Genomic DNA, 15,205 nt, shown 5'->3' on the forward strand with positions numbered 1-15,205 from the left:
TTGAGGTGTTAGTTTGATTTCTTCTCTTTTTCCATTCATCTGTGAGTACTACTACAAGACACAGTGCACCATTGATTCTTGCATTCCTCATTTACATTCTGATTTTAAAAGAAGCTTGTTAAAAAGAATTTGCCTGGGTAAATGGTACTATAGTCTTGGTGGTTTGAAAACTTAGAGAATGCTTTTTCAGTTGTTTCATTCCAGTTAAGCATATTGTTAAACTGATAAGGTTCATTCTCTCTGTGTGTCTCTGTCTATCTGTGTGTGTCTTGCCTGTCTCTCCCACCACCTTCTCCCCTCAGCCCCCACCATTTTGTTTTAAACTAATCTTCAGGGAGTATGTCCACAGTGAAACTATTCAGAGTTCCCTGTACTGTATGTAATTCCTTGGAATGTTTGCCTTTCTTGAGTTGTTGTGTATTTTACAGAAGTAGTTAGTATCCGGTAGACTTAATGAGTTTTGTAGCATGGTCTTCACATCTTCAAAGAGTTTTTGACTGTTTAGAGCATACTACTTCAAAAGAAGGAATAATTTTATTAATAATTGTGTAAAAATAATGATCCCTGCCCATAGCAAAAATTTAGTACAAAAGGGGTATAAAGTGAAAGATTTCATTTCTTCCATTCCAAGTTTTTAGAAGTAACCACTGCTGATAGTTTTTTGTATCCTAGAAATTTCCTAATCATAAACGAATTGAATTATATGTATTGCATTGTAACTTGCTCTTTTCACTTTATTATAGTACCTTATATTTTACAATATCAGCATATTTTAAAGCAGCATATACATTGTATTTATAAATCTAATCATCCCCATGGCTTTTAGAAATGCAAAAATTTTATTTAAAACTCATATATGTATATGTATGTGACTTAGTGTTTTTTCTTCCAGGAAAAGTGGTATTATATAATTATTTTCTTTTTTTCTTTCTTTTTTTTTTTTTTTGAGACAGAATTTTGCTCTGTTGCCCAGGCTGGAGTGCAGTGGCTCCATCTCGGCTCACTGCAACCTCCGCCTCCCGTGTTCAAGCAGTTCTCTGCCTCAGCCTCCCGAGTAGCTGGGATTACAGGCGCCCGCCACCATGCCTGGGTAATTTTTGTATTTTTAGTGGAAACAGGGTTTCGCCATCTTGGCCAGGCTGGTCTTGAACTCCTGACCTTGTGATCCACCCACCTCAGCCTCCCAAAGTGCTGGGATTACAGGCGTGAGCCACCACCCCTGGCAATTATTTCTTTATACTACGTTAGCCTAACATTTTTTTTTGTTGCATTGAGGATGTGATTTAGGGCATACTTTATGTTAAAAGTGTTACTGGTAGAGGGTCTTGACTGCAAGTTGTCCAGGTTCTTGGCATTTTGAACGAAGAATTGGACAAAACACACATCAAAGCAAGGAAAGAATGAAGCAAGGAAAGCAGATATTTATTGAAAATGAAAGTACACTCCACAGAGTAGAAGCGGCTGGACCAGCGGCTCAAGAGCCCTGGTTACAGGATCTTCTGGGGTCCAAATACCCTCTAGAGGTTTTCCGTTGGCCACTTGGTGTACACCCCATGCAAATGAAGTAGTGGCCTGTGATCAGTCTGATTGATTGTGGAAAGCAAGCAATTGGGGGCTGAAGTGAAGTTACAAAGTTACGCTCCTATGCAAACTTTGTAACTATACAAAGTGATACTCTTAAGAAAGGTACTTTCAGTTTTCCCTCTGCCACACAGAGGTACTTTAGTATGGAGAGTTACTTAGGTATGGAGGGTTGAGGTTTTCCTTTTGATTTAGTTCTAGGAAGTCAGGGTGAATAGGCCTTATTCCACCTGCCTCCAGACCCCATTCTCTTGCCTCAAAAGAACAAACTTTACTATGTACATATTTTGATGGTGTCTTTTCAGAGTTGTGTTTAAGATGCAGTTTTTGTTCTCAATGTCCACAGTCTTAATACAGAAGGTAGCTAATGAAACAAAAATACTAGAATAGAGTCATTATTGTAATGATGGAAACTTACATAAAGTATAGGAACAGAAAGAGGTAGTGATTATCTCAGAGATTTCAAGGAGTGTGTCTTACAGAGGAGGCGTAGTGATTGAGGTTCAGTAGTTTATCACGACATTCCAAACCACCTGACCTCCATCTCGCATAACTCTAACTGCTCTTAGTTCCCTGGGGACACCAGGCTGTTTGCCTAGATATTTCTTTGCTTGGGCTGTTTCTAATGCCTAGAATATTCCTGTACCCACTTGCCAGCATAACAGTACATGTCCTTCCAGATTTAGATTGAGGTTACTTGAAAACCATACCTGAGGTTTCCTTTCCCAGAAGAGCTACTTTCTGGTGCCCTGAGGCTTCCTAAGCATATTCATGCCAGTGTGCTTTCAGTGTACCCTATAGTAATCACTTGTGTGACACCTTCACTATACTTTAAATTCACTGGGGGGAGAGAGTATGTTTTATTCATTTTCCCTGAACATTTTATTATGAAAAACTCCAATGTACATAATTGTATAGTGAATACTCATATACCTATCACCTAGATTTGACTTTTAGCTTTTTGCTCTACAGTCAGCCCTTCATATCCATGGTTACCCATTTGTGGATTCAGCCAGTATTTGAAAAAACCTGCTTTAATCTGCACTGAACATATAGAGATTTTTTCTTGTCATTTTCCACTAAGTAATATGGTATAACAATTTTTTTTTTTTTGAGACGGAGTCTGACTCTGTTGCCCAGGTTGGAGTGCAATGGCATGATCTCAGCTCACTGCAACCTCCGCCTCCCGGGTTCAAATGATTCTCCTGCCTCAGCCTCCCAAGTAGCTGGGACTACAAGCATGTGCCACCATGCCTGGCTAATTTTTGTATTTTTAGTATAGATGGTGTTTCACCATGTTGGCAAGGCTGGTCTTGAACTCCTGACCTCAGGTGATCTGCCCGCCTCTGCCTCCCTAAGTGCTGGGATTACAGGCGTGAGCCACCATGCCCGGCCCAACAACTATTTTCTTTTTTTTTTTTTTTGAGACAGAGTTTCGCTCTTGTTGCCCAGGCTGGAGTGCAATGGCGCGATCTCGGCTCACCGCAACCTCCGCCTCCCGGGTTCAAGCGATTCTCCCGCCTCAGCCTTCCGAGTAGCTGGGATTACAGGTGCACGCCACCACGCCCAGCTAATTTTGTATTTTTAGTAGAGACGGGGTTTTTCCCTGTTGGTCAGGCTGGTCTCGAACTCCCAACCTCAGGTGATCCACCCGCCTCAGCGGGATTACAGTGCTGGGATTAGAGGCGTGAGCAACGACGCCTGGCCACAACAACTATTTTCATAGCACTTTCATTATATTTGCTATTACAAGTAATCTAGAAGTGATTTAAAGTATATGGGAGGATGTACGTAGGTTAGATGCAAATATTGGGCCATTTTATATAAGGGACTTGAGCAACTATGGATTTTGGTGTCCTTGGGGTGTGCTGGAACCAATCCCCCATGGATACTGAGGGATGACTGTATTTGTTTTGTCAGGTACCATCCATCTAGCTTTTGTGCTCTGCGTTTTTAAACATGCACTCCAAAGTAAGTTGCAGACATTGGTGTATGTCACCTCTGAAGAATTCAGCATTAAAATCCTTAATTTTATTTATTATTAACTCTTTATTTTAATCCTTTTTTACATTTTAAAATGTGTATTATTTTTATCATCAGGCCTACCACAGTGCTGCTACAGATATACTTAATATTTGAATTGAAATCTCTTAAAATTTTTAAATTTTACTTTTTTTTTAAATTTCCGTAGCCTTTTTACTTTGTGCATTTGAGTCTAAGTTTACTGCACTCGAAGAGATCAATTCATTGAGGGCTGTAGTAGGGAGAGTTTCATGGAACAAATGCTGTGTTTTTCTTGGAGACAGGGTCTCCCTCTGTCTCCCAGGCTGGAGTGCAGTGGCTCAATCTCGGCTCACTGAAACGTCTACCTCCCAGACTTAAGCAATTCTCCAACATCAACCTCCCAAGTAGCTGGGACCACAGGCACACACCACCATGTCCAGCTAATTTTTGAATTTTTTTGTAGAGACGGGGTCTCACCATGTTCCCCAGGCTGGTCTGAAATTCCTGAGCTCAAGAGATCTGCCCGCCTTGGCCTCCGAAAGTGCTGGGGTTACAGGCGTGAGCTACTGTGCCTGTCCTATGGTTTTAACTGGTCCTTAAAGAATGATTCTGCATTGAGTACAAAGGGGGTGGTTATGGTTACAGGCTGGAGAAACAGAGATGGGAATGAGTACTTTCCATGGAATAATGAGACAAACATTGTGATTGAAACTGTAGGTTCAATTTTATTAATAGAAAAAGCAGGTCTTTGGTTTTTGCAGGATCTTGTTGGGATTGATTATATTTAAATATAAGTGCCTAAAAATGATACCTTGTATTTTTCTTAAACGATACATTTTTCTAGTTGGGTAAACTTTTGAGTTATTTAGACTAAAAACTGGGTGGCTTAGTGTTTCTGTAGAAGATAGAAAATGAACAGAGGAGCCAGTCACAGTGACTCACACCTGTAATCCCAGCCCTTTAGGAGGCTGAGTCCAGGAGTTCAAGACCAGCCTGGGCAACTTGGTGAGACCTTGACTCTACACAAAAAACAATTTTTAAAAAAATTCCATTTAAAGAAAATCGGGGAAGATCCCAGTGGTGAGTTGAAATCTATATGGAATGAACTTCCTGGAGATTTTCAATCTCGCTTACCTTAAATTTGAGCAATACCTTTCAGGAAAGGTACATTTTTTTTTTCTTGTGGAAAGAAGAGTAGTGTGGCCACTGGTGGCTTATTCTCTGGAAAGCTTCTTAAGGACATTCTGGGGAAATGCATCATTGAGCTGTGGGTTCCTGGCATTTGAGTGAATAATGTTCAGATGATTAAGTGGCCCAAGGCAGGAAGCAGGGAGAATGTTTGCTTCTCTTCCCTAGCTACTCATACCTCCTGTTTCTCTAAAACTGGGTAATCCTATATATAACAGGTTGCTGATTCCATGACTTAGAATAGCTTTTCTTAAAGTGGAGTATGGATTCACCTATATTAGGGGATTTATGAATAATACAAATACCTGAGACCTGTATACAGATCTACTGAATGAGTCCTTGGATGTCGGACCTGTGACCATGCATTTAAACGAACATTTTATATGATTTTTATGCATATTGGAATTTAAGAGAACTGCTCTCATATAGGTGGAATTTTCCATAATTTATTTATTAAACAACCACCTATAGGCATTATGGGGGAGTTACTGCTCCTCTTTAGGAAGTATAATTACAGGCAGTAAATGCTGTCTTAGTCCATTTGTGTTTTGCTGTAACAGAACACCCGAGGCTGGGTAATTTATAAACAAAAGAGGTTTTAGCTCAGTGTTCTACAGTCTGGAAAATAAGAGAAGCATTGCACCATATCTACTTGGCTTCTGGTGATGGTTACTTGCTAGGTCAAAACATGGTAGATAAGGTCAAAGGGGAAGTGGACACATTCAAAGAGAGAACCCAAGGGATAGCTTGGCTTTATAGCAACAGCCCCACTCTCTTGGGAATGAATCCATTTCCAGGAGAACTAATCCAGTCTCACCAGAGTGAGAACTCAGAATCTCACTCATTACCAAAAGATTGGCAACAAGTCATTCATGAGGGATCTGCCACCATGACCCAAACACCTCTCAGTAGGCTTTACCTCCCAACACAGCCACGTTGGGGATCAAATTTCAACATGAGTTTTGGTGGGGACAAACAAACCATATCTAACCCAAAGCAAATGCCTATTGCTTTATAATAAGATTGATGGTAAAGTGCAGCTGTTGGGGATTTTCTGCTGCTCAAGATTTTGCTAAAGATCGTTTTGTGTACACAATTGTAAGGAAACTATTATTTTTATTGCATGTATTGAATGAAGAGTAAGATATTTCAGGGGTTTCTATGTGATAGTTTTAGATAGTTCCTTAAGTACAAAGGAAGGAAATTAAGACCTTATGTTTGAAATTGAGTGATTCACAATACTTTAAGAGTGTAGTCTTATTTTTGTTCTGAAGAGCTATTATGTGGATTATCCTAGTAAGACAAGTATATATTTATGAGACAAATATGTAGAAGATGAGTTCAAGCCTAGATTCTTGCCTCTTAGCTGTGTGACCTTGGGAAAAGCTTTTAACTTAAAAACAAATTCAGCGTTGATTAGTATTTAGGGGAAGTTGATTTGCTGTAGAAACCATGTTATGCTATTACTTGCGTAAGTATTTTGGTAACACTTCTGGTATTACCATGGTAGTATAAAAGCATTTTTTTCCCTCTCGTATAATACAGAAACAACAACGTAAACAAAAAACCTCTGCAAACTCCTATTTTTAGCACACTTGGAGACATAAAATGTGCCGATTACAAAAAATGTGTAGAGGGGCCGGTAGGTCGTGCATCAAAGAAGTGTGGAGAATAGTGAGCTGGCCCAGAGATGGTAGATCTTAGAAAGCTTGACTGTAAAATACAATAATATCCTTTGTATGTGACAATGGGAGCAGGTAAAGAGATGAGCAGGCTACAAGATAAAGCCTTTATGGAAAAGGTTTAGTCACGACTAGGGAGATATGGTAGGGCTTTTGCACAACGAATCCGTTTTAGCAGGAAATCATCTCTGTGGAAGCAGTGGAGAGAACTTTTGACTTAAGAAGCCTGAAAGGCTATTTATCCTAACATATAAAGAGCTCTTTGGAGTCAGTAAGAAAAAGATCATTAGCAGTGGCTCACGCCTGTAATCTCAGCACTTTGGGAGGCCGAGGCGGGTGGATCACGAGGTGAGGAGATCGAGACCATCCTGGCTAACATGGTGAAACCCCGCCTCTACTAAAAATACAAAAAATTAGCTGGGCATGGTGGCGGGCGCCTGTAGTCCCAGCTACTCGGGAGGCTGAGGCAGGAGAATGGCGTGAACCCGGGAGGCAGAGCTTGCAGTGAGTCGAGATTGCACTGCTGCACTCCAGCCTGGGTGACAAAGCAAGACTCTGTTTCAGAAAAAAAAAAGAAATCATTAGCTTGTTAAGAAAATGCAAGCAGCATTTATGAAAAAGATAATATGAATGGCGCTTAAATAAGAAAAATAGAGAAGTGCTTATTAAAATGACAGATATCCCTTCTTAGACCTGTTTGGTTCCTGATTTCCTTAGCAAGAGTTCAGATAGTGATTAATACTGCATTATCCAAATCTGTTTGGTTGATGTTTTGAGTAACAAGGGATTTATTGAAAATGTATGCTTGGTTCCTGAGATTGTGAAGTAGAATTTTGTGTAGGGAGGTTCACCAGTATCCTGAATACCACTGTTCACTTAGCAGATTGCCAAAAATCTCTAAAGTCTTGACAGCACTGTTGGTGACTGTATAGAAACTGACAGATCCGTACATACATTGCCGGTGGAAGTATAATTCGATATAACCCCCGAACATGGAGGGCAATTTTGATATCTGTTAAAATTACAAATGCATATCGCCTTTGGCCAATGCCTTCAATCATGTTTCAGTCAGTATGAGGGACTACTTATGTGTTAATTGGTTAAAACAATCACAGCAACATAGAATTAAATATTAAATATTATTCAGATAGCTGAAACAGATAGCTTTGAGGTTCCAATGTAGATGTTGATGAAATAACATCAGAAGAAAGCATTTGAGTATGGGCAGGCGAACACTGATGGACATAAATTAAAAAATTAAGATATTTATATACAGTCTAATTTACACTTTTTAGCGGATAGTTCTGGGAGTTTTGACAAATGTATACAGTTGTCTAACCATCACTACAATTAAGATATAGATCAGTTCCAGTACCTCTATTTCCACATCCCTCCAATATTCCTTGGTAGTCCTTCTTTCCTCCCCAACCATAGCCCCTGGCAACCACTGATTTCTTTCTCATTTATATGTTTTTTTTGCTCTTTCCAGACTGTCATATACATGGAGTCATATAGTAAGTAGCCAGTTGAGTCTGGCTTCTTTCACTTAGCATAATGCATTTGAGATTCATCCGGGGTGTTGTGTTAGCAGAAATTTGTTCCTTTTTATTACTGAGTAGTATTCCATTGTATGAGTATAACATAATTTGCTTATCCATTTACCACCAGTTGAAGGACATTTGGGTTATTTCTGCTTTTGGTGACTACAAATAAAGCTGCCTAGAAGTTTTGATAGTTTTAGGTTTTTACATTTGAGTCTAGCATCCATTTTGAGTTAAATTTTTGCATATGGTACAAGGTATGGAAAGAATTAACTTTTTTTGACATATGGATATCCAGTCATTCCAGCACCATTTGTTGAAAAGACTATCTTTCTTCATTGAATTGCCTTGGCACCTTTGTCAAAAATCAAATGACCATATGTGTGTAGGTCCATTTCAGGACTTTCTATTCTATTTCATTGATCTGTCTTGATCACCATTCGCACTGTCTTACCGTAGCTTTATAGAAAGCCTTGACATCAAGTAGTGTGAGTCTTCCAACTTTGTTCTTTTTCAAAATGGTTTTGGTTATTCTAACTTCTTTGCCTTTTCACCTAAGAATCAGCTTGCTGATTTTGAAAAAAATTTTAGTAGAATTTTGATGAGACAGATTTCTAAAAATTGTGGTAGCATATATATAACAAAATTTTCTATTTTAACTTTTGAAGTGCACAGTTTAGTGGCATTAAGTACATTCACATTGTTTTGCAACTATCGCTACCATCTGTTTCTAGCAACTTAAAAAATTTTCCCAAACTGAAACTCTGGACCCATAAACAATGACTCCACAGTGGAGGACCACTACACCCAGCACCTGGCAAACCACCATTCTACTTTGTCTCTTTGAATCTGACACCTTTAGGTACTTCATCCCGTATTTGTAGAATAATAGAATATTTGTCCTTTTGTGACTGGCTTTTATTTCACTTAGCCCATTGTCTTCAAGGTTTATCCTTGGTTGGTTGGTTGGTTTTTGTTTTTTTGAGACAGAGTCTCATTCTGTCACCTAGGCGGGAGTGCATTGGCACGATCTCGGCTCACTGCAACCTCCTCCGCCTCCCAGGTTCAAGTGATTCTCTCGCCTCGGCCTCCCAGGTAGCTGGGATTATAGGCACCCGTCACCCTGCCTGGCTAAATTTTGTATTTTTAGTAGAGACAAGGTTTCACCATGTTGGCCAGGCTGGTCTCTAACTCCTAATCTCAGGTGATCCGCCCACCTCGGCCTCCCAAAGTGCTGGGATCACAGGCGTGAGCCACTGCGCCTGGTCCCTTGTTGTTTAATATGTCAGAGTTTATAATCTATTGTATGTATATACCACATTTTGTTTGTCCATTCATCTGTTGATGGCTCCTCGGGTTGCTTCCACATTGACTGTTGTGAATAATGTCGCTATGAACATGGGTACATAAATGTCTTTTTGAGTGCTTGCTTTGAATTCTTTGGGGTATATGCCCAGAAGTGCAATTACTGGATCATATGGTAATACTGTGTTTAATTTTTTTTTTTTTTTTTTGCGATGGAGTCTCACTCTGTCACCCAGGCTGGAGTGTGGTGGCATGATCTCCGTTCACTGCAACCTCTGCTTCCCAGTTTCGAGATTCTCCTGCCTCAGCCTCCTGGGTAGCTGGGATTACAGGTGCTCGCCACCATGCCCAACTAATTTTTTTTTTTTTTTTAAGTAGAGATGGGATTTTGCCATGTTGGCCAGGCTGGTCTCGAACTCCTGACCTCAAGTAATCCACCCGTCTTAGCCTCTCAAAGTGCTGGGATTACAGGTGTGAGCCACCACGCCCTGCCGTGTGTGTGTATGTGTTTTTTTTTTTTTTAAGGAACAGTTATATCGTTTTCCACAGTTACATCCCCACAGTTTCAGTTTCTCCATTTTCTCACCAATATTTTTTTGTCTGTCTATCCATCTATCTATCTATCTATCTATCTATCTATCTATCTATCTATCTATCTAACTAACTGATGGCCTTCGTAATAGATATGAAGTCAAATCTTAATGTGATTTGATTTGTACTTCCCTAATAATTAGTGACCTGAGTCTCTTTCAAGTGCTTTGGATAGATTTTTAAATATAGTTTTAAATATTCTTATAAAAGTTGTATATGTACATTGTAGAAAAAATCTACAGATAACTAAAAATAAGAAAGCAAAACCAGGCCGGACATAGTGGCTCATGCTTGTAATCCAAGTGCTTTGGGAGGCCAAGGCCGGGAGTATCACGAGACCAGCCTGGGCAACATAGCGAGACCCCATCTCTACAGAAAATGAAAAAAAAAAATTAGCCAAGCATGGTGGTGCCTGGGTGCATGTCTGTAGTCCCAGCTATTCAGGAGGCTGAGGCAGGAGGATCACTTGAGCCCAGGAGTTCGAGGTGACAGTGCTCTCCAGCCTGGGTGACAGTGAGACTCTGTCTCTAAAAAAATAGAAAGAAAATAAAACCATCCTGTTTTTATCTTTCAGACATTTTTCTATACACATATATATGTGCCATTAAAAAAGAAACACCCCTTCAGAGTAGAGGAAGCAGAGAGACATTATTCTATACATGTGCTTTTGTGTCTGTCTTGTCTTTTTCTTCCCTCCTTTTCTTCCTTTTTTATTTAGCTCCACCATTTCATGTCAGTAACATTTAATTTTAATGCCCAGTCCACATTCACATTTCTCCAAGTATTCATAAACATGTATCATATCTGGTTTATCCAAACCATACATGCATTGAATCTGGTTTCTCTCTCCCTCCTCCTACCCTCCTCCCTCCCCCTTCTCTCCCTGTCTCTCTCAGACAGGATCTCCCTCTGTCACCCAGGCTAGAGTGCAGTGGCATAATCATAGCTCACTGCAATCTCCCAACTTGTGGGTTCAAGTGATTCTCTGGCCTCAGCCACCCAAGTAGCTGGGACTACGGGTGTGTGTCCCCATGTATGCCTAATTTTTTTGTTTGTTTGTTTGAGACAGTCTTGCCTCTGTCGCTCAGGGTGGAGTGCAGTGGTGCTATCTCGGCTCACTGCAACAACCTCCGCCTCCTGGGCCAAAGTGATCCTCCTGCCTCAGCCTCCTGAGTAGCTGGGACTAGAGATGTGTGTCACCATGCCCATCTAATTTTTATATATTTTGTGTAGCCGGGGTTTCTGCATGTTGCTCAGACTGGTCTTGAATTCTTGGGCTCAAGTGATCCACCCACTTGGCCTCCTGAAGTGTTGGGATTACAGCTGTGAGCCACCCTGCCCGGCCATAGTTTTTTTTTTTTTTTATTTTTTGTAGCGACAGGGTCTTGCTATGTTGCCCAGGCTGGTCTTGAACTCCTGGTCTCAAGTGATCCTTCCATGTGAATCTGGTCTCTTAAGCCTCAACTCTAATAACCTAGCACAGCTCACCCTCCTTTTATATAAACTACAGTCATGTGCTGAATAATGACGTTTCAGTCAACGATGGACCACGTACAGCATGATCGTCCTATAATATTGTAATGGAGCTAAAAATTCCTTTCACCTAGTCATGTCGTAGCCTTTATAACGTCTTAGTGCAGTGCATTTCTCATGTGTTTGTGGGGATGCTGGTGTAAATTAACCTGCCCTGCCAGTTGTATAAAAGTATAGCACATACAGTTATGTATAGTACATAATACTTGGTAATAACTGTGTTACTTGTTTACATATTTACTATTTATCATTATTTTAGAATGTACTATTACTTATAACAAATTGTGGCCAGGCATGGTGGCTGATGCCTGTAATCCCAACACTTTGGGAGGCTGAGACGGGAGGATCAGTTGAGCCCAGGAGCTTGAGATCATCCTGGGCAACATAGTGAGATGCCATCTTTACAAGAAAAATACCCAAAAAAATTAGCCAGACATGGTGGTGCATGCCTGTAGTCTCAGCTACTTGAGAGGCTGAGGCAAGAGGATCGCTTGAGCCAGGGAGTTCAAGGTTGCAGTGAGCAGTGATCACACCACTGCATTCCACCCTGGATGAGAGAGTGAGACGAGACCCTGTCTCAAGGGAAAAAAAGAAAAAGTTAACTGTAAAACAGTCTTAGGTCCTTCAGTGGGTATTCCAGAAAAAGGCACTGTTATGACAGATGACAGCTCCACATGTTATTGTCCCTGAAGACCTTCCAGTAGGACAAGATGTAGAAGTGTAAGACAGTTATATTGATGATCCTGACCCTATGTAGGCCTAGGCTAATGTATATTTGTGTCTTAGCGTTTAACGAAAAAGTTTGAAAACAAAACAAATAAAAATTTTAAAAATAGAAAACTTACAGAATAAGAATATAAAGAAAGTATTTTTCTACAGCTGTGCAATATGTGTTTTAAGCTAAGTGTTATAATTAGGAGTCAGTGTAAAAGTTTATAAAACAAAAAAGTTACAGTAAATGAAGTTTAATTTATTATTGAAGAAGAAAAAAAATTTTTTTTTCTTTAGAGACGGAGTCTTGCTTTGTCACCCAGGCTGGAGTGCAGTGGCGCAATCTTGGCTCACTGCAACCTCGGCCTTCTGGGTTCAAGCGATTCTCCTGCCTCAGCCTCCCGAGTAGCTGGGACTACAGGCGCGTGCCACCACGCCTGGCTAATTTTTTCTATTTTTAGTAGAGATGGGGTTTCACCGTGTTAGCCAGGATGGTCTTGATCTCCTGACCTCTTGATCCATCCGCCTCGGCCTCCCAAAGTGCTGAGATTACAGGCGTGAGCCACTGCACCCGGCCAAAATATTTAAAAAAATACATTCAGTGTCTCCTAAATGTACAGTGTTTATAAAGTGTACAATAGTGTCTAGTAATGTCCTAGACCTTCACGTTCACTCACCACTCACTCACTGACTCACTCAGAGCAACTTTCAGTCCTGCAAGCTCCATTCATGGTGAGTACCCTATACAGGTATACCATTTTTTATCTTTTATATGGTATTTTTACTGTACCCTTTTTTAGGTTTATATATGCTTATATACACAAATACTTACCATTGTGTTAGTTGCCTACAGTATTTAGTACAGTAACATACTGTATAGGTTTGTAGCCTAGGAGCAGTAAGCTATGCCATGTAACCTAGTGTGTAGTAAGCCTAGGCTATACCATCCAGGCTTGTGTAAGTACACTCTGTGATATTTGCACAACGACGAATTGCCCAGTGATGCATTTCTCAGAACTTACCCCATTGTTAAGCAGCACATGACTATATATTGAGGTATAATTTACATACAATAGACATCACCCATGATATATACTCCCTTGCAACCATCCACAACAATCAAGATAACATCATGGCTGGGTGGCTCACACCTGTAATCTCAGCACTTTGGGAAGCTGAGGCAGGAGTATCGCTTGAGGCTAGGAGTTTGAGTCAGGCCTAGGCAGCAAAGCAAGACCCTGTCTCTACAAAATAAACACACAAAAACACAAAAATATTAGCTGAGCATGGTGGGATGCAGTTACTGAGGAGGGAGGATGGCTTGAGCCCAGGAATTTGAGGTTGCAGTGAACTGTGATCATGCCACTGCACTGTAGTCTGGGCGACAGAGGGAGACCCTGTCTCAAGACAACAACAACATAAAAACCCCATCTCCATTACCCTCAAGTTTCTTCTTGCCTCCTTTCTGTCAAGGTAGATTAGTTTGCATTTTTTGTAATTTAGAATTTCATATAAGTAAAATCTTACAATAGTAGATACACCACAGTCTTCATATAATCCCAACTCTTTGGGAGGCCAAGGCGGGAGCATTGCTTGCACTCGGGAGTTATAGGTTTGAATATATCCTAGGTGATTTTGTATATTTGTTGTATCTTTCCTGTAGATACGTTAGTGATGATAAAGTTAATTCCTGGCTTAGGGTGATGACTGTCCAATTTTCTTATTGTACTGCTAGGTTTTCACCTTATGAGTAGAAAATTACCTGTGTGGTTTTACTTGGGAACTAAAAGATGGCCAGTTCTGCGTCAGCCATACACCTGATTTTTTTTGAGACGAAGTTTCACTCTTGTTACCCAGGCTGGAGTGCAATGGCGCGATCTTGGCTCACTACAACCTCTGCCTCCCAGGTTCAAGCGATTCTCCTGCTTCAGCCTCCTGAGTAGCTGGGATTAGAGGTGCCTGCCACCACGCTTGGCAATTTTTCTTTCTTTCTTTCTTTCTTTTTTTTTTTTTTTGTATTTTTAGTAGAGACGGGGTTTCACCTTGTTGGCCAGGCTGGTCTTGAACTCCTGACCTCAGGTGATCCACCCGCCTAGGCCTCCCAAAGTGTTGGGATTACAGGTGTGAGCCACTGCACCCGGCCACACCTGATTTTTTGTTTGTTTGTTTTTTTGAGGTGGAGTCTTGTTCTGTCACCCAGGCTGGTGTGCAGTGGTGCGATCTCGGCTCACTGCAACTTCTACCTCCTGGGTTCATGCAATTCTCCTGCCTCAGCCTCCCGAGTAGCTGGGATTACAGGGATGTGCCACCACGCCTGGCTAATTTTTGTATTTTTAGTAGAGACAGGGTTTCACCATGTTGACCAGGGTGGTCTCAAACTCCTGACCTCAAGTGATCCACTCAACTCAGCCTCCCAAAGTGCTGGATTACAGGCGTGAGCCACCGAGTCCAGCCCACACCTGATATTTTTAATTACAGTTGCTAATCTTGTTTGCGTCACTGATTTCATTGTTAGTTAGGGAATAATTTCCAAAATCACTCCTGTATTCACTGGCTTCTTTAGTTTTCTTTCATCAACTGAGATTGCTTGTTACCTGAAATATAATTTTTTTTTAATATATTTTTTGAGACTGAGTTTTGTTCTTGTCACTCAGGCTGGAGTGCAATGGCGTGATCTCAGCTCACTGCACCCTCCACCTTCCGGGTTCAAGCGATTCTCCTGCCTCAGCCTCCCGAGTAGCTGGGATTACAGGCGCCTGCCACCACGCCCGGCAATTTTTTTTGTATTTTTAGTAGAAATGGGGTTTCACCATGTTGGCCAGGCTGGTCTTGAACTCCTGACCTCAGGTGATCCACCCTCCTTGGCCTCTCAAAGTGCTGGGATTACAGGCGTGAGCCACCGTGCCCAGCCTGAAATATAATTCTTAATGAAAAGGTAGGGTAAATACTTAATTTTTTCCTTTAGTTACCAATTTTCAAATTAAGGTGTTAATTTAGTAACTATAATGATAACATAGATTTGTTCTTTTATCTTTTTTTGAGGTTTATTATAGATTTTTATTGGTTTAA

The 15,205-nt window shown here is 40.7% G+C and overlaps 1 protein-coding gene across 34 annotated transcripts in view; it reads left to right on the plus strand.

Moving 5' to 3' along the window:
- Positions 1–15,205, plus strand: part of STAG2 (STAG2 cohesin complex component) — a 142,097-nt gene that overhangs the window by 28,117 nt on the left and 98,775 nt on the right. For 5 of the 34 annotated variants that reach the window (NM_001441077.1, NM_001441083.1, NM_001441086.1 and 2 more), the window contains one exon: positions 14,791–15,071. The exons of the other annotated variants lie outside the window; for them this stretch is intronic. The gene's annotated coding sequence lies outside the window, so the exon portion shown is untranslated. Of the gene's footprint in view, positions 1–14,790; positions 15,072–15,205 lie in introns of those variants that run through there. 34 annotated transcript variants of the gene reach the window in all.

This window comes from Homo sapiens, chromosome X (genome assembly GCF_000001405.40).
Source record: "Homo sapiens chromosome X, GRCh38.p14 Primary Assembly".
In the NCBI taxonomy this organism is placed as follows: domain Eukaryota; kingdom Metazoa; phylum Chordata; class Mammalia; order Primates; family Hominidae; genus Homo; species Homo sapiens.